Raw genomic sequence first — 26,915 nt, 5'->3', positions numbered from 1 at the left:
AAATTCTCTACCACAAACTCCATATTCCTGATGAAAATTTTCCTTGTAAAATAAAAAGTGTATTAGAGGCTTCCAAGTTAGACATCTTTAAAGAGAATAGTGATCCATTCATTCAACAAATACTGTTAACCTACTTATTTTTCTAAGTGCCTTTGGATACAGTGATAAACTTGACCAATAGGGTCCTTGCTCTCAAAGAGATTCTATTTTAGTGGGCAGAAGAGACAACATCAATAAAATGATAAATATTAGATAATGGTAAGCATAAGAAATTCAAGTAGACTGGTATTTAGAGAGTGACTAAGTCACTACTGAGGTCGGGAAGGTATCTCTAAGAAGGTGACATTTGAGATTCGATATGAATCAAGAAGGAACTAGCATATTCCATACAGAGGAAACAGTGCAAAGGCCCTGAAGTGAGAATGAGCTTGGCTTGTTAAAGGAACCAAGGAAGGGCTTGTTGGACCATAGCAGGCAAGGGAAAGAGTGACCTGAGGTTGGATAGGTGGATAGGGCTGTATCACTAGGCTCTCATTCAACATTAGGAGTTTAGATGTTATCCTAAGTGACATAAATTGACATTGAAGGGTTTTAAGCAGTATAAATACTTGATCTGATAAATTTTTTAAAACATAAGCTTTGGCCAATATGTGGAGATTGAATTACTGCCAGGCAAGATTGGAATTGAGGAAATTCTCTAAATTACAGTCATTTAGAGGAAAGATGATGGTGGCTTGTACTGTATGGAGTAGGGCATAAGAGAAGATTTAGAAAGTGAACTTGTAAGAGCATTTTCTATTAAGAGAATTGAGATTTGGGGAGATGTAGAGAGCCATTTCTGCCTTACTGATAGTCCTAGGAAAGGAATTGGGGTCTTTATGCTAATGGGTCCTTTTCCACCATCTCCACTACCACAGTTATTATGGTTTGTACCCCCAAAGACTTGTCTATAGGCCTGGATTCTTCTATTACTACTGCTCGATTGGCTTCCTACTTTGATTGGTTCTGTTAAACTTGTTATTGCTAGAGCAGTTGCCTCCTGTCACTAAGAGCCCTGTGCCAGTCTTTCTGTGCTTTCAGGACCATAGATTAATCATAGAATTGATTATGTGGAAGAGTATGATTAGGTTTATCTTACTCCTAGACTCTTGAGGGTATGGATGTTGCCTTGAAGTCTCTACTAATGTCTTGGGAAGAGTTAAAGTCATGGGGTAGGTATTAAATACATGTATGTTAAATGAAAGAAGCCAGACATAGAAGATCATGTATTATTTGATTCTGTTTACATGAAGTGTCCCCAAAAGGCAAATCTGTAGAGACAGAAAGTAATTAATGGTTGTTTGGGGCTGGGCATTACAGGGATTGACTGTGAATGGACATAAGGGGTCTTAGTTGGGTGATGAAAAATGTTCTAAAACTAAGTATGGCAGTGGTTGCACAGCGTGGTAATTTACTAAAAAGCATTGAATCATATGCTTGGAAGAGTTATTGTTATGTGATGATAATGCAGTAAAGTGGTTAAAAAAATGAATTATACGAAGTTAGCTAGATAGGCAAGAGGGCAGAAGGCATTCCTAACAGAGAGAGAAGTGTAGTTAAAAGAGAGAGTCTTGGAAGCACTTTAGGGAATCTGTAAGGTATTGCAGTAACACACACACACATACAAATATGTGCATACATAAATACCAAAGAAACCTTGGCTGTCTAGGGAGTCAGTTAACACGAGGCTTAGAATATATCTATGTTGAATAAGAATAGACTACATATTGGGTAGAATTGGTAGAGGAAAAATATAATGGAAAAGATTTAGAATTGAACTTCAACTTAAAAGCCCTTGTTTTACTTCTTGCCTAGGCAGTAACTAAGGCGTCATCTTCTCTGGATCTCAGATTACTTTACTGTAAGGGTATGTGGTGAGGATTGGGAGGGAGACTGGATGAGAATGTTGGTTTTCAAACCACACCATGATGTATGAAGATGCTTTAGGGATTCTGCAGACAATGAAGTAATGACATAACACTAAATAACAGAGATTTAGATCCTCAGGGAGCCCAATCATTATCTTTAACTCTATTGATGTTTTACTTAAGAGTAGTTCATTTAGAAAAAAAGAACTAAATGTACACTAAGTGCCAGTAAGATGTATGAAAATTACTAAACTAGATAAGGTCTAATATAGATTTGGAAGCCAAAAAGCCAGCCTCTTTTCCAACATTTAGCAAAGATTATCTTGACTGAGATACTTTAGGTACTCAAATTTTCATTCAATAAATTTTAGGATTTTTCACATTAAAATAATAGTTATAAACACATATACTTTAAAATCATGTTTTTAAATTCCTAACATATTTCTAACACTTGTATTTGTTTAACATTTTGCAGATTTTTCTAATGAAAGAAAAGCCTATTTGTATGTCTAAAGCCAGGCATGTTGGTTGTGTTTAGATGTCCTGGTAATGAAAATTTGCTTAATAAATTGAGGATCACTCTTAATAAATCCGAGATTTTTCTCAATACACAGAAGATAGGAGAATAAAGCACTTTTCTTTGTTTTTTTTTTTTGGTTTTTGTTTTTGTTTCTGTTTTTTTGTTTTTTTCGGGGGGGACGGAGTCTTGCTCTGTCGCCCAGGCTGGAGTGCAATGGCGCGATCTCAGCTCACTGCAAGCTCCACCTCCCGGGTTCATGCCATTCTCCTGCCTCAGCCTCCCGAGTAGCTGGGACTACAGGCGCCCACCACCACACCCAGCAAATTTTTTTCATATTTTTAGTAGAGACGGGGTTTCACTGTGTTAGCCAGGATGGTCTCAATCTCCTGACCTCGTGATCTGCCTGCCTAGGCCTCCCAAAGTGCTGGGATTACAGGCATGAGCCACCGCGCCCGGCCAAAGTCCTTTTCTTGAATTCTTGAGTTTAACATTTCTGCAGAAGCAGTTAGCTTAGACATACAGAATCAGAATTGCTTCCATTTAGCATTGTTCCTGCTTTAGAAGAACCATTTTCCTTGATAATAAATGATTTCTATGCTCACAGAAAATTAGGAAGATATATTGAGTATAAAAAGAAAATAAAAAAGCATCCATAGTACCACCACCTAGAGATATCCACAGTTACCAATTTTGGCACATTTCAGTCTTTTTATTCAACACTTAGTATGTGTATATTTACTTGATCTTATAGGCCAAACAAATATTAGAAAAAATTACAAATTCTGAAATACTTCTTTGTATAGAATTTTATTATCTTTCTTAATCATTTGTGTGATAGAATATATTAGTTCTCTTGTAGAAATTTGGTGACTGAAATGGTTTTAAAACATTTTAAAAGGCAGATAAATGAGACAGTTCCATGAAACCAGGTAGCAATGATTTCAGATAAAAACTGCATTATCAGTTGTGGCTGACTTCAGAGAAAAGGTTGTATAATTTCCTATCATTGTGAAATGTTTCCACTTTCTCTTGCTATTGCATGAGTGACCTTGAGTATTGCCATATGTTCATCTGTTTATATAATGCATTTCTAGTTTGGAAAAATGTATATTACTTTCAGAAAGTAACAACTCATTTCCTCTCTTTTTTTTAATACCACAACATTCATTGTGATAGTCAGCATTGTCGACCTTGTAGTGATTCTTATCGTTACTTTTCAGAAGCATTAATTGGTTTCATTGTTGTCCAGGGACTAATGTAGTCATGAAAAACCCTAGCTTAATACAAAGAACACCTAGTTTTAGTGTTCTTTGTATTAAGCTAGATTTTATCATCTAGAGTTCTATATCCTTCCGTGGTCTTAGAAGAAAATAATCTAAGCTCTTTCTATTCTTTTAGTCACTTAGGAACAGTTTTTGACTACCTGCTAAGTCATGAGCATATTTAATTTTTTTTCTTCCTTTCTGTTTCCACTTATTACTGGTTCTAATCATTATTTTTTTAAATAGCCACCTTACCATCATTTTTTTCCTACTTCATAGTTTTCTTTTTAAATCGTAAATATAATTGTGCCATTCTTCTATTAAAACAATTTTGGTAAATTAATCCCCATCCTATATAGAATGTTCAGTTACTTGTATGTTGTATTAGTCCATTCTCATGCTTCTAATAAAGACATACCCAAGACTGGGAAATTGACTTTGAGGTCAATTGTGACTCAATTTTGAGGTCAAATTGACTTTGAGGTCAATAAACTGTGGAGTTTAATTGAATCACAGTTCAGCATGGCTGGGGAGGCCTCAGAACACTTACAATTATGTCTGTAGGGGAAGCAAACACATCCTTCTTCACATGACAGCAGCAAAGAGATGCGCAGAGTAAACGGGGGAAATCCCTTTATGAAACCATCAGATCTTGTGAGAACTCACTATCACGAGAACAGCATGGAGGTAACTGCTCCCCCCCTCACCTCCCCCACTACCGGGTCCCTCCCACAACATGTGGGGATTATAGGAACTACAATTCAAGATGAGATTTGGTTGGGGACACAGCCAAGCCATGTTATATATGTTTATGACTTTATCATATTATAAACTCTTTGATTTACTCATTTTCCTATCTGCCATTGCATTCTATCACAGTGCCATGCATATAATGAATATGTCACAAGTACTTGCTGAGTTGAATTTCTTATTTATTTTTTCCCCCAACCCCCTGCCTTCCACCCTGGAGTTCGATCTTGTCTTTGAAATTATATGCTGTAAATTGTCATTTTAAAATTTAATTTACAAGTGGCTCTCATTTATGTGTGAGAATAAATCTTGTAGCTCTTCTGTCTACGTAGTCATTCAACTTTATGTACCTAGTGTGTGGCCATGTGCATACTCTTCCTTAGTGTCATCAAAAATCAATGTTACATCAATGGCATGCAAATTGTATGTGGGGATAAAAACAACAACAAACAAAACCCATCCCCAAGAACAGTATTCTGTATAGAAGAGAAAACTAGTCACTCTTGATTATGTGGTTTTGTGGTACAGTTTTTGACAGTTTTGCTGGCTTGGCTTTCTTTCACTTCACAGATTTAACTGATTTAATTTAGGATATAAATACATGATACTTGCAGGGCTTAATAGAGTTCTTAGCAAGTTTAATTTTTCTTAACAGATTTTTTTAGCTTTAATACCACAGAAAATATTTTTATTTGTTATACAAAATAACAAAAGCATTGAAATCTAAAATGGAGTTTTACAAAGCATCTATGCTTCTAAAAGGAAAGAAATATTGATGGCTATGAGATGAGTTAGGAGACTGTTAAGGTTATTCAGGCAAGTGATATTGAGGGCTCAAACCATGGTTGTAGGGAAAGAAATGAGTAGTCAGCTACATAAAATATACAGCAGAATTTACAGGAATTGGCACTAAATAAGATGTCAGGAATTAGATATATGTTTAGAGAGAAGTCAGGCACAGTTAGCTATTTCTGGGTAATGGCTTAATGCCATTTTAAATATTGCCCAAGACTTCCCGCCTCTGTTACTTTGTTCATAGTATCTCATTCTTTCCCCATGTTCGGCTTCTCCAGTCTTAAATCTTAACTGTCTTTCAAGGTCTAGCTTACGCCTTGTATTTTCAGAAGATGCCTTCAGATGCCCTCTTAGTGGGGGAAATGCTGAATCCTTATAATGCTTAGAGTCTATAGCATATTTAATAATAATTACTACTACCTACTATTGTCTTTCTTGAGCATCTTCTAACTAGATTGTGCCTTATGCCTAATGAGTGGATGTTTTGAGTTTTTTTGGGTTTTGTCCTAGATAAAACATAATCCAATATAAGTTAGGTAAACTGCTTTCTCTATAGGTTACTCCAGGTTAAAATTTAAAAAGGCCTGTGTTTACCTACTGTTTCTTACAAAACAGCTGTTTTTTTAGTCTTTAAATTTAGATTTGCAGCAATAATGTTTTGGAGGAAAAATGATCACAGCACAAAGGCTTATATGAATATTATAGGATGGTTCAATACTTAGGCTTCTGCAATCTCAGTTCTCATCACTGTGTGACTTTGCTCTAGTATAGTTCACTGGTAAGCCCTTCGATTGTGAAACACAAAGAACTGGTTCTTTTGTTCTTTGAGGTATTGACATATGGTGAAATTGTTTGCATAATGTTCCAGGATTCACTGAAGAAGTTTGCACCACAGCTACAGGAGTGGTTACAGTTTATAAATCAGGGTCCTGGAGAGCAGTGCTTGTGTGAGGTTTTCTTTAATCTCTCAAATTAGACAATTCAAAGACACTGCTACACAAAATGCTTTAGTGTTTATATGTGACTTGCATCTCAATTCTTTCTTAAGTGGTCTGTCACTTTCTTTTTGAATGAAGAACTTATTTCCTTCCATGACTGTATTCCCATGACTCTTAAAGTATTTAAGACTCATTTAAAGTATGTATTATTGCATATATAATTTTTTTAACAGTTTTACCTTGAAGCTTTTTTATGGAATAATACTAATATTTCATAGTTTGATCTGAGATGTGAAAAATCCTTTTTAGAATGTAAACAGTTGAACTTGTCAGAATGAAATCATAAATGTAGTTTCAAGTATTTAGTAATATTTTTGAGCTTACTCCAATAAGGAAAGCAGTTGGATTAAAGCAGGACACAGCATTTTAGAACATCTTCATTATTAAAACATTATCATTATTATATCATCAAATTCCTAACACTAAGACTTTTCCATGTGCAAGGCACTACTAGGCACTCTGCATACTTTGTGTCATTTAACCCTTAAAAACCACATTTTTATGTTTACAGTTATTATACCCATTTTGTAGAAGGGTTCCTCCCAAGGATTGGGAATGTTACTTGACTTGTCCATGATTAATCATAGTAAGAACCAGTGCCATGACTGCAGAGCCTTTCTCTGCTGTATGAGACATGAGCAAGACTGCACAATCCATGAGAGCCAGAGCTGTGTTTTGCCTGTCATTTTAAACCTGTGACTAGCATAATACCTGGTACATAGTAGATGATCTGTAATAAGTATTTGTTGGCTAAGTTTGCCTCTCATCACCCAATAATAATAACAAAACCCCTCAGCAGGGCCAGGACCGATCCTGGTAGCTTGGCACAGAGTGAACATATTCCTGGCATTCCACATTGGAACTAGAAATACATTGTCACAGGGAAACCTGTCACATGTGGCAGGAAGTTTCATGACTCAATACTTGGAGTTACATGGGTCTTTGTACACTGACCTGTGAATTTGATTGCTACTGAATAGCATAACTTCTATGAGATAATATGTTTTTAGGCAGCTTTCAAATGGACTTTGGGAGTAAACCTTGTTGGTAGGTAAGATGTAGGCTGTGGCCTATGAAGAACATGATGAACCTTCCCTTTAGAACTCAAAGTCACCATTATGAGTGTTGATTATAGTTTATAGGACCTCATTATGTAAAAACTGAGAAACGTTGAGCTGCTGCTCTAGGGAATTAGGGATGAAACACCTGAATGCCCCACCTTCTCTGTTTCCTTCCTGCTTGTCTTCCCCTCATATCTTGCTGAGCCTCTGAAACTGATTTGAAAAGCCTTAGGCTACTGGAAGCAGAGGATGACTAATCCTTGCTCCAGACCAGGTTCTGCATTTTTAATTGAAGAACCCAAGGCTGAGAAAAGTGACTTCCTGAAGTCACATGGCTATTTCAGGCACACGGTTAATTTGTGGCAGAGGACTAGATGTGAGTCTAGTGCTTACCAGTTCTATTATAAATTATTTCAAGTACTATTTAAATTGAATAATTAAATCTTTATACAACTTTAGTATTCTGTTTTATATTGTCTTTGAAAATAAATGTCCTTTGCTCAGTGCTGAGATAAGAACTAATATTAACCTATTGTTTCACAGTTTGAATAACTTTTTACATGTAATATGATCCTCACAACCCTAGGAGTAGGAAAAACAGAATTTTATCACTATTCCTATTTTAGATATAAAATCTTACAGTAATATCACACAGCCAACAAGTTGCAGAGCCAGAATTCAAAAGTAGATTTTCTCACATAAGATTTGAAATTGGACTCACTTAAGTGAGCTAGTTCAGCCAGTCTGGATCAGAGAAGCCAGCTTCTTGGTTGTAGTGATGGTGAACCTGGGTGGGCCACTTGTGGGTTAAAGAGAAGGTTTGGAAAAAGGCCCTCATCCCTGAACTCTATAGTGAGGGAACAAATACAATCTTGCCAAATTAAGGGACTATAGGTTTGGAACAATGACAGGAGTGAGCATATGCTTTGTTTTCTTGAGATAGTGTGATGGAAGGGAGCATTCCCTCAGGCTAGATTTAAGTGTTTATTTTTATATTAGTTAGCTATGTGACTAGCTAAGTCAGTTGCTCTTTCTAAGCCTTGATGGTCTCATCTGTAAAATGAGAACAATATTAACCTTGTGAACCCCGCTCTGATTGCTCAGAACTCTTTTTTTTTTCTCCTGGGTTCTTTGCATTTCAGTATTTTTAGCAACTATATAGCTAAATTATGAAATTGTTACACATGTTCCTATACAGAATGCAGAAATACTAGAAACTTATTACTGAAACTTACTTACTACTAGCATCAGAAAGACACCAGCTACCATGAACCAAAGAGAAGTTCCTGTTACCTTTTTTGGTGACAGATTTGATCCCCAACCCATTTCGAGTTGGATATTCACTTTTTATTTTGGTTGTAAAATGATTAAATTCTCTCCTTATCTATGAAATAGTAGTTAATTGTTCCATCATTAATTAATGTTTTTTTTTCTAGTTATATAAGTTTGGAGAGACAGTTTCTATTGTTTTTTGGACAGACACTTGGAGACCAGAAAGCTTCTTTGACAAAGTGAAGAAGAACAGACAAAATGGCATGCACACATTATGTTTACTAGGTAAGGGTTTTGGAATTTCCTTGAAGTAACAATATGGAACTATCATACTGTTCTCATTTTGATTTTGTGTTAAGGTCTGTGGATAATTAGCTAGAGGTAAGAAAAGACACAGTCTAGCCATTCTATGCAGACCACACTCTTTCCCATGCTCTTAGAGAGACACGCATCTTCTGCTTCAAGTACCACATGGCTATTTCTGCATACACACCATAGTTACACTGCTCCCTCTTATGCCCTGCCCTAGTAGATCCTCTCCAGTATTCCATATCTTACTCATTTGTCCATCAAGGATTTACTGCAATCCAATAGACATGCACTGAGCAAGCCTTACCAAGGACCATCCTGCATCTTCCTAGGGAGGTTCTTTGAATACTGCAGTATTGATGCTATCAGATTCACAATGATAGATCTGAAAGAGACTCTGGAGATCATCTTATTGAGGCCTGTTTTACAGATGAAGTTGAGGCCCAGAATATTGAATTATTTCCCCAATGTCACCTAGTCAATTGTTGGCAGAACTGGTAGAATCAGATAGCCTTTTAATAATAGCTCATTTCACTGTACCTTCTTCCCCAAATCCTATTTCCTTTTTAGTGTGGAAAGAGCTGGGATCACTGTCTTTGTTTTCCAAGATAATAGTACTGAGTTTCAGAAAGCCATGGTGTTTTCTTTCTAGCAGAGGCACTGAAATTTTACCGATTCACATTTGCTAATCAGCCCCTATTCTAGTAGCATATGTTGTAGAAAGAAATACTGGTATCAAAGACTTAATCTGTGACTAAACAGAACACAGCTAACTGACATTTTTGATGACTTTGCAATGATACTTCTACTTGGAATCAGAAGACAAAATCCCAGTGCTACTACTTACTAGTTAGAGAGTACTGTAAACATTCCTTAGCCTTCATATTTATCAAATAGGAATAATTCCTCCTACTTCATGGAGTTATATAGAGCAGTACTTCTCAGACTATTTGTGGTAAAGAACCATGGTTGGGTTGTTTAAAACATATGTTTGATTTTTAAATTTTCGGTCTTTTATGTCAGTGTCAAGTTACTATAAATTTTGTACATATTCTTACTCCTGTAGTTACTTCATCATTTACTGGCAACACAAAGCTCACATACTGGCATTGGTCCTGAGATCATACTTTGAATTGTACTGTGTTACTGAAACTGTGTGTGAAGTCACTCACCAAAATGTCTATCACATAGCACAAGATCAGGGCAGAGAATAAGCCCATGATTTTGGCCTCTGTATATTAAATACAGATATTCAGAATATAAGACAAGATTTCTGTTTGCCACTTTTTTTTTTTCAAGACAGAGTCTCAATCTGTTGCCCAGGCTGGAGTGCAGTGGTGCAGTCTCGGCTCACTGCAACCTCTGCCTCCTGGATTCAGGCAATTCTCCTGCCTTGGCTCCCTGGGTAGTTAGGACTACAGGTTCATGCCACCACGCCCGGCTAATTTTTTGTATTTTTTTTAGTAGAGATGGGGTTTCACCATGTTAGCCAGGGTGGTCTCCATCTCCTGACCTCATGATCCACCCGCCTCGGCCTCCTAAAGTGCTGGGATTACAAGCGTGAGCCACTGCACTCGGCCTTTTATTTTATTTTTATTTTTTTGAGACGGAGCCTTGCTCTTGTTGCCCAGGCTGGATTGCAGTGGCGTGATCTTGGCTCACTGCAACCTCCACCTCCCAGGTTCAAGCGATTCTCCTGCCTCAGACTTCCGAGTAACTGGGATTACAGGTGCCTGACACCACACCCGGCTAATTTTTGTATTTTTAGTAAAGATGGGGTTTCGCCATATTGGCCAAACTGGTCTCGAACTCCTGACCTTAAGATCTGCCCGCCTCTGCCCCCCAAAGTGCTGGGATTACAGGTATGAGCTACTGCACCTGGCCAATTTGCCAAAAATTTTTAAGCTATTTGCATAATATAGCCAATCTCTATTATTTAACAATATTTAATTTTAAGCAACAAAATAAATTTTTTGTTTGTTTGTTTGTTTAAGAGACAAGGTCTCGCTCTGTCTCCCAGGCTGGAGTGCAGTGTCACAATCTCAGCATACTGCAGTCTCAACCTCCCATGCCCAAGTGATCCTCCCACCTCAGCCTTCTAGGTAGCTGGAACCACAGGCATACGCCACCACACCTAGCCAATTTTTGTATGTTTTGTAAAGATGGAGTTTCGCCATGTTGCCCAGGCTGGTCTCGAATTTCTGGGCTCCAGCGATCCACCTACCTTGGCCCCCCAAAGTGCTGGGCTTAGATGAGTGAACCACGGTGCCTGGCTGTATGTCTTAATAGAAAAGATTATAATACATTTTTACTAATGATTGGCATTTCTTAGGATAGAAATTAATATCTACAGCAGGGATTAGCAAACAAGTACCCATGGATCACATCTGGCCTAATGTTTTGTAAATAAGGCTTTATTGGAACATGGCCGTGCACCTTCATTTATATATTATCTATGGCTACTTTCATGCCACAACAGCAGTGATGAGTAGCTGTGACAGAGACCATATGGTCCTCAAAACCTAAAATATTTGCTGCCTGCCCCCTTTCAGAAGTTTGCTGGCTCCTGATCTTGAGTGAAATTTTATTTAATCTCATGTGCTGCACCCTGAATCCCTTCAGTGATGTGTTATAACCTTACACTACTTTCTTCATAGTCTTACCAGCCATATGAATTACCTTATTAACTTGATTTCTTCACTGCTTCATAAGAGCAGAGACTTTATCTTGCTCATTATTCTCTTCCTAATGTCTAGAAGTCTAGCACAGTGTAGGCACTAAATAAATATTTATGGAAGTTAATGGAAGTTTTATTTAGTCTATATTCTCAGACTTGGTCTTATGACCCATTGGCACAGAAAATCTTTAACTCTTGCTAGTTCAGTCAATTGCAGCCAGAATACACTCCTTTTAATTCCTTTTTTTTTTTTTTTTTAAGATAAGGTTTACCCTGTCATCCAGGCTGGAGTGCAGTAGTGCAGTCTCGGCTCACTGCAACCTCTGCCTACCAGGTTCAAGCAATTCTCCTGCCTCAGCCTCCTGAGGCTGGGATTACAGAAGTCTGCTACCATGCTTGTTTAATTTTTGTGTTTTTAGTAGAGATGGGGTTTTGCCATGTTAACCAGGCTGGTCTCAAACCCCTGGCCTCAAGTGATCTGCCCGTCTCAACCTCCCAAAGTGCTGGGATGATGGGCTTGAGCCACTGCACCCGGCCCCCCTTTTATTCTTGGCATCTAATTAATTATAGATCTAGATTAGGCCATAAACGCTTCTCTAACACATTTTCTTTGGTCTTATGCCAATATTTGCAATCAGCTAGTATGATGTTTTCTTATTTTAGTTTATTGCCAGTGTGATTTAGTGCTTCATTCATCATTAATTATCTTTATAATTTTGTCTTTGAATTTTCCTTGTAAAAAGAGACTGGTCTTACTTTTTTTATAGTCCTTACTAACAAGGACACTGTAAGACTTGTGAGTTGGTGTGGACTATGCCATCAGATATATCCATCTTGTTATCCCAAAGTTAGATCCAGTTAAGGCCAGCTGTGGGTAGAAGGTCAAAGTAGATGACGGGCGAAGGATAATTTTTAAAAGGACTTTTGCTAAAGAAGTAGATGTATCTGAGGGATGAAAAATGGGGATTCATTGGAGCTCAGATACTAGAATATATGTTTTATAACAGTACTGAAAGGTTCTAAAACAGAACAGGGAAGGAAGAATCTGAGAGGCAGGCTACCTGATAACCTCCCCATATATCCATTAAAAATGACAGGAAAGGCCGGGTGCGGTGGCTCACGCCTGTAATCCCAGCACTTTGGGAGGCTGAGGCGGGTGGATCACGAGGTCAGAAGATCGAGACCATCTTGACTAACACGGTGAAACCCCATCTCTACTAAAAATACAAAAAATTAGCCGGGCGTGGTGGCAGGTGCCTGTAATCTCAGCTACTCGGGAGGCTGAGACAAGAGAATGGTGTGAACCCAGGAGGCGGAGCTTGCATTGAGCTGAGATTGCACCACTGCACTCCAGCCTGGACCACAGAGCGAGACTCCTTCTCAAAAGCAAAAAAAAAAGATAGGAAGGAGAGGAAGCAGCACTTATCTTTTCAGAAGCTTTGGAAAGGCAGATAGAAGATCAGTGTACAGGTATTTATTGAGTGCTTACCCTATGCCCCATGTAGAGTTAGTTTCTTTTGGAATACTAAGGAAGTGTAGACGTGGGTCCTGCTCTCAAAGCTTTGAAATCTAGTTTGGAACTAATGTGTTGTGCACGTGAAAGTTTAAAGAACAAAAATTCTATTGTATGGAGAGGCAGGAAGGACAAACTAGAAATGTGGCTCTTGAGTTGTCCTTCTAAGAGCTGCCCCTTTTCTTAGCTTTCCTGGGAAAAGACAAACAAGGTTAAACAATGTATCTTCCTTGCTCCATTAACAAAAGCAGGAAGGAACAGAGTGTGAAGTATAGGATGTCATGATTTCAAATCCTCAAACCATAGTTCTCATCGTTTTATCATCTGGCATTCTCATTATTTAAATTAGTATGTATTTATTCAATGCCTGCTGTGGGTTAAGTTCCATAGGGATTAGTGAGGATAAACCATGGCAGGAAAACACAGAGAATTTAAAATTTACTTAGAAAGACAAGACCAATATATATGATATAATTAGAGGTTAATAAAAGATAGCATTAATTGTGTAGATCTTTCCAAGAACAAAAAGCATTTGAGGAGAAGTCAACAAAGACTTTATGAAGGAGTTAGGACTTACGTTGCCCAGAGAGTGGATAGTTTAATATGGGCTGGTGACTGAGTGGTAGGAGAGTCACTTGAGTAAATTTATTCAGTAGACATTTATGGAGTGTCTTCTGGGTACTTCACATTATGCTAGGTCCTGGTACTAAGATGAATCAGAGAACCTTACATTCTAGCAAGTAGAAATAGAGAGGAATAATTATGGACTGTGTGAAGACAAGGGAAAAGTAATGCGGGGTCTGGCTTGAGACGAAGTCACGAATGCACTCCTTGATTAAAAAGGATTTGCGTCTAAAAATTCTCCTCAACCCTCTTCCTTTTAAAAATCAGATTCTATAGAGCATATTTGAAAAGTAAAGACAACTGAAAATATGAAAAATCTCATCACAACATTTCAGAAGCTCAGAGTGAATGAATTAATAAACGGGTTAAAATTTTTAAAATCTTAGAAACGTAATTTAAAGGAAATCTGAAAGTTGACTAACACCATTGATTATAGGGAGGCCACATTCTTAATAACAGGCATTCGTTTTTTTCTCCATAATGTGACAGACAAGTAGAAATATTAAATAAATAATGATATTTCAAACCTGAAAAAGGCTTTCAATGCTGGTTCCAAGAACATTTAAAAATATGTATTTAATATTAACTCTGCTATAATTTCCAAGCAAACTCTTTGATATCCTTTATAAGAAACACTTCTATAATCACTTAGGAAATCTGCATAAGTCTATTAAAGACTCCTCAGTTGCACTATGTTTATTTTTGCAAAAACAAACTTTGGCTGAACCATTTGTTTTCAGCATGTAAAGCAGGAAGCAGCTGTTGCTGTTGCTGTTGTATACTGAGTTCCTTTGAGGATGTAGAGTGATTCTGCTTTTTTACCTTTTACCAAATAGTTCAGTTGAGCATGAGTGATTAAAAAGTATACCGAATCAAATATTTGTGATGCTTGGACTGTCAAGCTTCTAGAGAGCAGAGTTTATATCTGGTCAGGTCCCTGTGGTATCCCAGTCTCTGACGCAGCGTCTGACACACAGTCCATGCTCAAATCCCTGTTAAAAGCATGAATACTTAGAATTAAAGTATTTATTCAAAATTATGGCATGTGTTAACATTCGTCAGAAAGCAAAAGACTTTTTTAAATGTGGAAAAGATTTTTTTCTACTTACATTACATCTATCAAAGGGCTTTCAGATGGGTCTGTGCAGTTACTAGCTGGTAGAAATGAAAACAAAGATTGTGATTAGCTGTTAGTAGTGTATATGCCAATGTTTATCTAATTCTTTCCCTTGTCTTCTTTTCCAAAAGGAAATTAGATGTTAGCAGGATGGTCTCAGGGCCAAGTTCATGTTTGTTTTCTAACTAGTGGCACAACCACAAGCTTCCATTCTTCTCTATGTTACTGTAAGAAAGTGGCTAATTAAAATGTGAGGGAAGAGTGTTTCCCCAAAATTTAGGTGACTCTTAACTGAGGTTTACACATAGGGTTTTGGATAAAGCTTTTAATTAAATTAAAAGAACTATTTTTACTTCCTACAGACATCAAAGTAAAGGAGCAGTCTTTGGAAAATCTAATCAAGTAAGTTATTATTCTGAGAATGCATACATGTGTTTTATTTCCTTGAACAATTCAATACATTCTACTTAAATGACCTGAGTTCTAAAGATGGTTGAAAATGAGCTCTCATTAACAGTGTGAACATTAAGCATTTTTATTCTTACGAAATGATAAGCAGTATAATAGAGTAGAAATAGCAATATATTTTGTGGATTCAACACTGAGAACAGTGGTTGGCATCTAACAGACACTCAGTGTTTGTGGAATGAATTAATGCGTTGGGATTCTGAAAACATGGGTGTGAGGCCGGGTGCGGTTGTTCATGCCTGTAGTCCCAGCACTTTGGGAGGCTGAGGCAGGTGGATTGTTTGAGGCCAGGAGTTCAAAACCAGCCTGGCCAACATGGTGAAACCACGTCTCTACTAAAAATGGAAAAATTAGCTGGGTGTGGTGGCACGTGCCTTTAATCTCAGCTACTTGGGAGGTTGAGGCACGAGAATCGCTTGAATCTGGGAGGCAGAGGTTGCAGTGAGCTGAGATCACGCCACTGCACTCCAGCCTGGGTAACAGAGTGAGAAAAAAAAAAAAAAGGCATGGGTTTGAGTCCTGAGTCTGCCTCTAGTTGAGTGCTCTTGGGCAAGTTACTTCCATCTCTGAGCCTTATTTTCTTCAGATGTATAATGATAGTACTAATCCTTTTTTACTTAGAGAGGCAGTGTCTAATACAGTACCCCCTACCCACTTGTGACTAAGGAGCATTTGAAATGTGGCTAATGTGACTGAGGAACTGAATTTTTCATTTAATTTTAATTAATTAAAAAATGATACTCTGTTATTGGAAAACTTTTAAGTATGTTTGGAACAGCTTTAGTATATAAATCAACTGTTAAAACCATAAATTTTATGAAAGTTAAATACAGATCAACTATTTCCAATGAAAATTTAATATCCAAATTAAGGTGTGCTGTAAGAACATATCAGATTTCAAAGACTTAATATAAAAACAATCTCTTTAATAATTTTTATATGAGTAGGTGTTAAATTACAACATTTTGGATTAATTAAAATATTAAAATTTTTGCCTTTTTTGGCTGGGCGTGGTGGCTCATGCCTGTAATCCCAGTACTTTGGGAGGCCGAGGCAGGTGGATCACGAGGTCAGCAGTTCGAGACCAGCCTGGCCAAGATGGTGAAACCCCGTCTGTACTAAAAATACAAAAAAAATTAGCCAGGCATGGTGGCAGGCACCTGTAATCCCAGCTACTCGGGAGGCTGAGGCAGAGAATTGCTTGAACCCAGGAGGCAGAGGTTGCAGTGAACCAATATCACGCCACTGTACTGCAGCCTGGGCAACAGAGTGAGACTGTCTTAAAAAAAAAAATTGCCTTTTTACAAACTTTTTTGTTAATATGGCTACTAGAAAACTTGATTCTATATATGGCTTCATTTATATTTCTATTGGATAGCACTGACAGAATTTTTTTGAGAGTCAGTAAAATAATCTATTTGAACTGTGTTGTAAGCCACAATAGCTATATATATATATATATATATATATATATATATATATATTTATATTTTCGACAGAGTCTTGCTCTGTCGCCCAGGCTGGAGTGCAGTGGTGTCATCTCAGCTCGCTGCAACCTCCGTCTCCCGGGTTCAATTGATTCTCCTGTCTCAGTCTTCTGAGTAGCTGGGATTACAGGCGTGCGCCACCAAGCCACGCTAATTTTTTTTATTTTTAGTAGAGACGGAGTTTCACCATGTTGGTCAGGCTGGTCTCAAACTCCTGACTTTGTGATCCACCCGCCTCTGCCTCCCAAAGTGCTGGGATTACAGGCATGAGCCACCACGCCTGGCCTGCAATGGCTATATTTTTGTTAATATGATAGTTCGGCAAGCCTGATAGGCTTTTGAGGCATACAGAAATAAACGTATGCCATCACCTGAGATTTTTAAGCATCCAAGATGCTTTAGTTTACTTTTCTTAGAGGAAACAGTGAAAAGAATATGTGGTTTAAAAATGGTCATAAAAAGGACACTAAATAACCTGATTAAGCTAGAGTATAGACCAAATTGCCACTTACTTTGAATTGTTTTTACCAAAGGTATCACTTTGAATAAAGATAACTTTCATTTAGACATCTATCTTTATGTGTTCCTGCCATCATTTCAGTGAGATCAGAGGAAAGTTAAATTAGAACAATGAAAAAGCTTAAGAAATGAACAATCATCATGCTTTTGTGTATGCTTAAAGTGAGTACATGTAAAAAAACATCAAACAGAATGTAGACTGTGGTACTTGAGTATACCTGGGAGAGCTAATTGCATTAATAACATATTATGTAGTTTCATGGCTAAGAACAGTGGCATCTAGTTTTCTGCCTATAGGGGAAGGAAGATCTATGAACCTCCACGGTATATGAGTGTAAACCAAGCAGCCCAGCAGCTTCTGGAGATTGTTCAAAATCAAAGAATACGAGGAGAAGAACCAGGTACTCAAGACACTAGAAGGGCTCTCATATTATTCCTCTGTTACTACATTTAGATGTGTATATGACTTAATATCTCATACCACTATGGAAGCAAGAGTCAGTATTTTTGTATTGTACTATTTCTTGTCATTTTTGTCCAACTTTAACTTAAATCCCATAGGCTTCAAGTTGTAGTGAAAGAAAAAAAAATTGGCATTCTTTTATAGTATAATTAACACCATTCCAGAAAGTGAGGATTTTTCACAAATTAAACATAAGTCACATTTGATATAAATATATTACTGTATAAATATTTTTGTAAAATATATCTATTATGTTATCCCTAATCAATGGTGAGATCTATCCTGCAAAAATATACTTATCGTTCTTTTATTCTCCCTCCTTTCATTCTTAATATTGAGACTAGGAATAGTTTTCTTCAGGGTAAATATAAGAGAAAATTTGTTCTTATATTCCTAATATGTAGACACAGTGTGTGGTATATAATAGAAATGTTTATTGTCAATAAATCTTTATGGGAGGTTCTTTTTTTTTTTTTTGAGAGAGGGTCTCACTTTGTCACGCAGGCTGGAGTGCAGAGGCACTATCTCAGCTCATTGCAGCCTCCACCTCCTGGGCTCAAGTGATCCTCCCACCTTAGCTGAACTACAAGTGCATGCCACCATGCCCAGCTAATTTCTTTGTGTGTTTTTGGTAGAGACAGGGTTTCACCATGTTGCCCAGGCTTTTCTCGAATTCCTTGGCTCAAGCAATCCTCCCACCTCAGCCTCCCAAAGCCTCCCAAAGTGTTGGGATTACAGGTGTGAACCACCACGCCTGGCCCACTGTGAGACTTTTTTTTTTTTTTTGAGATGGGGTCTTGCTTTGTTGCCCAAGTTAGAGTGCAGTGGTGCAATCATGGCTCACTGCAACCTCTGCCTCCCGGGCTCAAGCCACCCTCTCACCTTAGCCACTTGAGTAGCTGGGACTACAGGTGCATGCCACCACACCCAGCTAATTTTTTTGTATTTTTGGTGGAGATGGGGTTTCACCATGTTGCCCAGCTGGTCTCAAACTCCTGAGCTCAAGCGATCCGCCTGCCTCAGCCTCCCAAAATGCTGGGATTACAGGTGCGAGTCACCGCACCCAGTCAAGAGATTCTTGAGTGATTGTTGCTTATTTTATTCTCATTGGTAGGCCATGTTAAAGTCGTGAAACAAATAGTCTGCAAGGATGTTCTATATCCATAACTTTGTACAGAAGTTTCCTGCATTCCTGTTTGTCCTTGGATAAACCATTTGCCCCCTTTTGATCATTGTTCAATCAAGACCCCTTTCCCAACTAAACAATACAACCATTAAAGGGTCAGCTCTTTAGCTGTAGCACCAGAGTGAATAATACTAAAGCTAAGGCTGGCTGTTTTTAACTGAAAAACATAAATAGTGCCAAATGCTCATTATTTGTTAAGGAATCTATAGTCTACTAGTCTCATATCTACTATCTTAGCTCTCATTACCATGATTTAAAAGAGGGAGTATTACATTTTAAAAAATGAGAAAACTGAAGTTTATCACACAGCTAATTGGATGGCAAGGCAGAAACTCAAATCTGTGAATTTATTTCATAATCTCATGGTTTCTTCAGTATATCTAGGTCAATATGAACATTATCTCAAGCAAGTTATTAAAAACCTGTGTGTAATAAACATTGTTTACTCAGAACTTATTTAAAAACGAATGCTGTGCAATTGTAGAGTGTAAGTATAGCTTGTCAAGTCCTAAAAGCTTAGTGTAAGCCTTTGTAATTCTGAAAGGGTAAAGTTTGGAAGTACTCTTTTATATTAGGTAATACAAATGATTTAGAAAATCCCTTGGATGAATTAATGGATAACTGGTCCATAAGTGGCAAAAGAGATTTAAGATATTTGGGGCTTCTTGAAATGTACTTGTGGTACTAATGTTTGTTTGACTGTTGGATGGATGATGCATTTGCTGAATTGAATAGCAGTATCTTTTTTTTTTAATAGCAGTTACCGAGGAGACACTTTGTGTTGGCTTAGCCAGGGTTGGAGCCGACGACCAGAAAATTGCAGCAGGCACTTTAAGGCAAATGTGCACTGTGGACTTGGGAGAACCATTGCATTCCTTGATCATCACAGGAGGCAGCATACATCCAATGGAGATGGAGATGCTAAGTCTGTTTTCCATACCAGAAAATAGCTCAGAATCTCAAAGCATCAATGGACTTTGAACATAGATATTTACCATTGTCTGATGTAAATTTCAGCCATATATGGATTGATATGGTTTGGATGTATCCCCACCCAAGTCTCATCTTGAATTTTAATCCTCATAATTCCCAGGTGTTGTGGTAGGTAATTGAATCATGGGGGCAGTTTCCCTCATGCTATTCTCATGATAGTGAGCTTTCATGAGATCTGATGGTTTTATAAGTGCCTGGCATTTCCCCTACTGGCTCTCATTCTCACTCTTGCCGCCCTGTGAAGAGGTGCCTTCCACCGTGATTGTTAAGTTTCCTGAGGCCTTCCCAGCCATGTGGAACTGTGAGTCGAAAATTAAACCTCTTTTATAATTACCCAGTCTCGGGTATTTCTTCATAGCAGTGTGAGAATGGATTAATACCTGGATGCATGCATGTTTGTGTAACAAACAGGTCTTTTGGCTTATCTAGTAAGTATAAAACAAGTGACCAAAAAGAAGTTGACTCAACAATGCTTGGTTTCTTGTGGCAGTGAGTTTTTTCCCTATGATATCATCAGTTGTTGCTGCTATTTTGGCAAATTTTCAGGATGTACACATAAAGCAGACCAGGCTGGAAAGCTTGTGGATAGACATCCACTGACAGAATCATTTAAGAGCAGTTTTTATTTATGAAACCAATTTATACAAGGTGGTTGTTAACAGAATATAACTTAGAGGTAACTGGAATTTGAATCACTTGAATCTGTTTTAAAGGGTAAAAAATGTTATGAGTGCCAAGAAAAGCAAATAAAAGATTAGTAAATGTTCACAAAATATGTTTATAATTTTCTTCTTTTTAAAAAAGTTAGCTGTCCCTACTGCATGAGGAGTTGTCCTGACAGCAGCTGGTATTAGTGTATATAAACAAAGGTAGAAAGATTACATTTCCATCCAGCAGTCTGACTTAAAGCTCAGCTGAGCACATGCCACAAAATGACATTCTTCTGAATTCACTGTCTTGGTTAGCTGACATCCTAATTACGTGGCTCATACTCTGCTGTATTTTGGAGGTTATAAGATTGTTTAATTATAAATGTTCAGCCAGCCTTGTACAGTTGCTGTTTGGTTTTAAATAGCATCTTTCACATCCAAGCAGACAAATGGAAAACTTGCTGACTACAAAATAAAATTTTTAAAAATGTAAGTTTTAAGGCAACAATGGATTAGTCAAGATATGCCATATAACTTAATTCAGTTAATATGCCATTGTATATGTGCGAGTAGTCACACTCTTCTTACTAGTATTAAATAACACTCCATTTATTATATTTCATTTCAAAGAGTTTCAGTTCTGAATAGAAATAGCTTTCTTATATCCTAGTTCAGTTGGTTCAACTCTAAGTATTTCCATGGCCTAACCAATTTTTCTGAGCTCTTTACTTAGTAAATTCATTGAAATTTGAACAGATTTCCCTATTCCCTGGGATCATCAATTAGCTAAAGATTATTTGACTTATTTTACTTCATTTGAGATAAGAAATATTTATATATATATGAAACATCTCTTTTTTCTTTATTATTTTTTATTTATTTATTTATTTATTTTTGAGACACAGTCTCACTCTGTAGCCCAGGCTAGAGTGTAGTGGTGCAATCTTGGCTCACTGCAACCTCTGCCTCCCAGGTTCAAGCGATTATCCTGCCTCAGCCTCCCGAGTAGCTGGGATTACAGTCATGTGGCGGCACCACACCTGGCTATTTTGTGTGTGTGTGTGTAGAGATGGGGTTTCGCCATGTTGGCCAGGCTGGTCTTGAACTCCTGACCTCAAGTGATCCACCCACCTTGGCCTCCCAAAGTGCTGGGATTACAGGCATGAGCCACTATGCCTGGCCTCATTTTCAATCTGTTAGACACAGAAGGGGAGAGAGCCAAGTACATTTAAATACCAGTTGTATATTATTTTCTTCTCATATGTTAAACTAAACATTTAAGAACTATATAATGAAGGACTTCTGGTTTTGGTAATGGTGTAATAGCTTGTAATGTACAAACCCTCCCAATTATAAACTGTGGACAAAATATAATAAACAATGGTCTAAAAACTCTAGGGAGTCACTGAAACCAGCTGTGAACTATATATGGTTTTTCCCCTTCGGTCTTTCCCAGACTGTGTGGTAAGGCGTGGCTAGAACTCAAGAGAAAGTTGCAATCTTACTGGCTTGAGGTGTTAGGATGGAATTAAAGGCCGCTAGAAGAACTGAAAATTAAAGCAGCAGATCCTAGAAATGAAGGTGTCAGAAATGGAGGAGGCTTCCTGTCTGCATATGATCTCTCCTTAAATCCTTAGCTAACTCTCAAACCGTGCATGCCCCGGGAAGACTCCAAGGACCTTGGTGGAAAGCCACAGTTGGAAGGCTCAAGAAGCTGAACAGAGACGGCTGTTTTCTATTGCAATAGAAGACACAGTTTCAAGTTTGAATTCTGACAAGTTAGAAGGGCTTGATAGAACCTTGAGCTTCCCAAACCCCAGAATGGCCATGTATTAGTAAAGGCTGTGCACAAGACTAAAGATTTATGCTAAAACTAAGGATGAAACCTTTAACATAATATAAAATCAAGGTGATTAGCCAATACTTTAAATGAGATCAAAGCTTAGCACTCTTCAGAGTATGATAAAATGAATCTGTATAACATATAAACAATGACTGGAATACAATAAAATGCTATAGGGTATCCAGAGAAATAAGGAAATACAGTTTATAGCTTATGGTTTAAAAAAAAAAAAAAGAGCAGACAACAGAAAAAAAAATCCGAACATAAACTAGATGATGGTGGAATTGGCAGACAAGGATTTTTAAAGCAGTTTTTAGAACTATGTTCATGGACAAAAAGGTAGGGTGGTTGTAATGAATGAATATAGATATATATTCTCACCCAAAATGTGGTAACATTAAAAGAAAATGGTTGGGTTTAACCGTAGCATAGAGATGACACATGAAAGAAATTGTCCAATCTGAGGAAAAGAGAAGAAAAGATTAGAAGGAAGACAACAGAAAGCCTCAATGCCATTTGGGGAAATATCAAGCTATTTAACATATGTAACTGGATTTCCAGAAGAATAGAAGGAAAATAGGGCAGAAGAAAATATAAGTAACTTACAGGCCAGAATTACCTCAAATTTGGTAAAGCTATCAACTCACAGATCCAATAAACTGAGTGAACCCCAAGTGGAATAAATAAAGAAAATCATAACTAACGTAACAGGTAAAACTGATGAAAACCAAGGATAAAAGAAAAAAGCTACCAAGGGTGGTAGTAGGGAACCTACCAAATTTTTATTTGAAATTAAACTTAACCAGGTTCCTCTGTCTGCTAAATCTGGCAATTCTGTTCTGTATGTAACTTAACCTCAATTTAAATGAAATTGTAAAATGAACACTGCACTACTCAGCAGGGAAAGGATGAACAATAGTGTTTTCAGTCTGTTCTCTGAAATCCAATGTTAGTTAAAATAGAAATACCTGAAGGCTGCATACATTTGATTATTTAATAGTGTTTAGCTCTTTAATACTATAAAGTTCTTTAAAATTATCATGTAGTGAAACACTATTCCATAATCTAGATACAGAACGGTTTCATCACCCACAAGATCTCCCACTGTCCCTTTATATTCATCCCTCTAGTTCATTCCTCTTTATTGCTAAGTAGTGTTCTCTCATATGGATAGACTACAGTTTATCCATTCACTATTTGAGAGATAATTGGTTTGTTTCCACTTTTTAGCGATTGTGTATAAAGTTGTTAAAACATTAACATAACAGGTTTTTGCCTGATATTTTATCCAGAGGGATTGCTGGATCACATGGTTAAGTGTGCACCTAATTTTATAAGAAACTGCCAAAATGATTTCCAAAGTGCCTGTACATTTTGCATTCTCACCAGCATTGTATGGGTTCCCATTGCTCTGTATCTTTGCCACCACTTCATGTTGGCAGTATTTTGAACTATTCTGATAGGTGTGTAGTGGTGTCTTTTTTTTTTTTTTTAGACAAGAGTTTTGCTTTTGTTGCCCAAGCAGGAGTGCAATGGCACAATCTCGGCTCACCACAACCTCTGCCTCCTGGGTTCAAGCTATTCTCATGTCTCAGCCTCCCGAGTAGCTGGGATTACAGGCATGCACCACCACGCCCAGCCAATTTTGTATTTTTAGAAGAGGCGGGGTTTCTCCGTGTTGGTCAGGCTGGTCCCGAACTCCCAACCTCAGGTGATCTGCCTGCCTTGGCCTCCCAAAGTGCTGGGATTACAGGCATGAGCCACTGTGCCTGGCCGCAGTGGTGTCTTTGTTGTGGTTTTAATTTGTATTTCCCAATACCTAATGATGTGGATCATCTTTTCATGTGCTTATTCACCATTCTTATATCCTATTTGATGAAGCATCAGTTCATGTCTTTTGCCTACTTTTAAATTGGATTGTTTCCATATGGTGAAATTTTGAGTGTTTATTACATATTCTGGATAAAACCTTTTGTAAGATATATGACCTGCAAATATTTTCTTCCCATTTGTAGCTTGTCCTTTCATTCCCTTAACCATTTTTGATAAAGCAAACGTTTTAAATTTTGATTAAATCCAGTTTATGTTTTCTTACATAGATTATGCTTCTGTTGCCATGTCTAAGATCCCATCACAAATTCAACAGACTCAATATTTGTATGAAGTGAGTTTTAGATCCACACTCATTTTTTTTTTTCATGTAAATGTTTAGTTACAACATCTTGATAAGAAGACTGTTCTTCCATTGAATTGTTTCTGCACCATTGTAAAAATCATTAAGCCCTATTTATGTAGGTTTCTTTCTGAACTCTTGCTGTTCTATTGATCTGTGCATCTCTCCCTTCTATGATACTATGCTGTCTTAATTACTTTAGCTTTATGGTAAGTCTTAAAAACAGGTGGTGTGGTTCCTTTAACATTCTTTTTTCAAAGTTGTTTTAGCTATTCTAGTTCCTTTGCCTTTCCATATAAACGTTAGAATGAGCTTGTTGACATATACAAAAGAGGTTGTGAGATTTGGATTGGAATTGTTTGAGATGGTGTGGATATTTTGGGGTTTATTCTGTTTTGGGTTTGCCCAGCTTCTTGACTCTAGGTGTACATCACCAAACTTGGGAAGTTTACAGCCATTATTTCTTCAGATCTTCCTTCAGCACTATATACTTTATCCTCTCCTTGAGAAATTCTGATAAATACAAATGTTAGACATTTCTTACTGTCCAACAGGTTCCCGAGCTTTGTTCATTGTTGTTGTTATTTCAGTCTGTTTTCTCTGTTGCCTAGAGCTGATAATTTTTATCCATCTATGAATTCATTGACTCTTTTCTCTGTCTTCTCCATTCTGCTGTTAAGTCCATCTGTATGTTTTTAAAATTTTGGTTACTGGTCTAAAATTTCCATTTGGTTCTTTTTATGTCTTCTGTTTTTTATTTTAACATTTGTTTCAAGATTATTTGTGATTTCTTTGTCATGTATTTTTCTGTAGGTGTTTGAGCATTTCATATAGCATTTTTGTATTGCTCGCTTGAGCATTTTAAATATCTGCTTTAAGGTCTTTGTTAGATAATTCTAAGATTGATATCTCAGCTTTACCATCTATTGATTTTCTGTAAGTTGAAATTTTTTGCAGCACTTTATCAAGTAATTTTGGATTATAGCTTGGACATTTTGAATATTATGTTGTGAGTTGCTGGGTCTTGTTCAGATTTAATGGAGAATATCAATCTTTTTGTTTGAGCAGGCAACCAACCTGTTAGCTTCAGGATGCAATTATCAGATTGCTCTTTATGGGCCACAGTTCCAGTGTAAGTTCGGTTTTCAAAGACTGCAGTTCTCTTTGGATCTATTTCAAGTTTGTGGCACACAATTTGGGACTTACGAAGTCGTCTGTTGGATAGTTTAGTTCTCAAGATTCTCAAGGCTAAATAGAATCAGATCCAAGCATTAGTGATTTGAGGATGATCCTTGGGGTTCATAAACAACTTTATGAGATTGCTTTCGTGGTTTCCTCCCACTCCATAATCTCTCCACTTCCTGGTTCCCTGGGCTCCCCTTCTTGGTTGAGCCTCTGGCCAGAAAATTGGGCATCTAGTTACTCTACTCTGATACTATTTCATACTTTCATGGCTGGGCCTGCATTCTGCTCCATGTGGTGGGGGTACAGAGAGAAAAAAGCAACAGGGTTGCTGTACCCTTTTAAAACCATAACTCTACCAAACAGAAATATTCCCCTCCCCCAAAGTTTTAGTTCCTATGGGCTTACATAGCTGTTGGCCACCACCATAGGATTGCCTGGCCAAAGCTTTTGGAAGCCAGTGGGAAGTCTTCCCTCCAACTAATGTAACTACAAATGTAGTAACTTTGCCTTCTTCTGAGGTCTGTAGAAACCAATATGACCTGTGTACAAATTATTGCTCACGGGGAAAGTAGTATGATGCACATACAGGACAATAAACCCTGTAAATCTGAACATTATGATCTAACTTATTGTCTAGGGTGGAAGACAGCGACGGCTAATCAGATGGACCTTATTTTATTTGTAATTTTACAAGTCACAATGACATACTCAAAAGTCCAAGCCAAATGGCCAAGCCAAGCCTTAATTGCTATCTAAGTGCTCCTGCTTATATGTGAATCTGAATATCTTGTTTACTTAAAAAATACCACATTTAAACAATGCCATTTGGTGGCTACATTCAGGAAATAATTTTTATAAGGTCTTTGTATTATTTTGCTTTATTCTTTAGTTTTAGCAGTTGCTCTTTCACAAAAAGAGTACTATTCACTTTAACAATTCATACAGAATCACTTTTCAAAGAGGAGTTAAAGTTTACATTAAAAAGCAAAATTCATCCATTTCTTCAATAAACTGATTGCCTTGCCTACACTGTGCCAGACTATGCATTTCTTACTGTCAACATTAGCAGATAAATTTGAATTGTGAATTTAAATGTTGGTAGCATGTGCTAAGCCTGAATTTCATGGTAGTTTTTTTTGTTTT

At 37.4% G+C, this 26,915-nt stretch overlaps 2 protein-coding genes across 11 annotated transcripts in view; one reads left to right on the top strand and one right to left on the bottom strand.

Moving 5' to 3' along the window:
* DPH5 (diphthamide biosynthesis 5) overlaps window positions 1-20,694 on the top strand; it is a 36,162-nt gene extending 15,468 nt beyond the window's left edge. For 3 of the 9 annotated variants that reach the window (NM_015958.3, NM_001077394.2, XM_011541570.4), the window contains 4 exons: window positions 8,730-8,850; window positions 15,168-15,207; window positions 17,577-17,680; window positions 19,686-20,694. In NM_015958.3, coding sequence (NP_057042.2) covers window positions 8,730-8,850; window positions 15,168-15,207; window positions 17,577-17,680; window positions 19,686-19,909 — 489 coding nt within the window. In that variant the 3' untranslated portion in view covers window positions 19,910-20,694. The remainder of the gene's footprint in view (window positions 1-8,729; window positions 8,851-15,167; window positions 15,208-17,576; window positions 17,681-19,685) is intronic. The other 6 variants (NM_001077395.2, XM_047422513.1, XM_005270938.3 and 3 more) reach the window with 4 other exon arrangements.
* Window positions 14,239-26,915, bottom strand: part of SLC30A7 (solute carrier family 30 member 7) — a 99,989-nt gene continuing 87,312 nt past the window's right edge. The window contains exons 12-13 of one of the 2 annotated variants that reach the window (XR_246237.4): window positions 14,798-14,843; window positions 14,239-14,680 (exon numbers count right to left, since the gene is read on the bottom strand). The gene's annotated coding sequence lies outside the window, so the exon portion shown is untranslated. Of the gene's footprint in view, window positions 14,844-26,915 lie in introns of both variants that reach the window. The other variant, XM_017000400.3, reaches the window with a different exon arrangement.

The sequence above is a fragment of the Homo sapiens genome, chromosome 1 (genome assembly GCF_000001405.40).
Source record: "Homo sapiens chromosome 1, GRCh38.p14 Primary Assembly".
Taxonomy (NCBI): Eukaryota; Metazoa; Chordata; class Mammalia; order Primates; family Hominidae; genus Homo; species Homo sapiens.
Note: the sequence above shows the minus strand (reverse complement) of the source record. Positions and strands in the feature narration are given on the sequence as shown.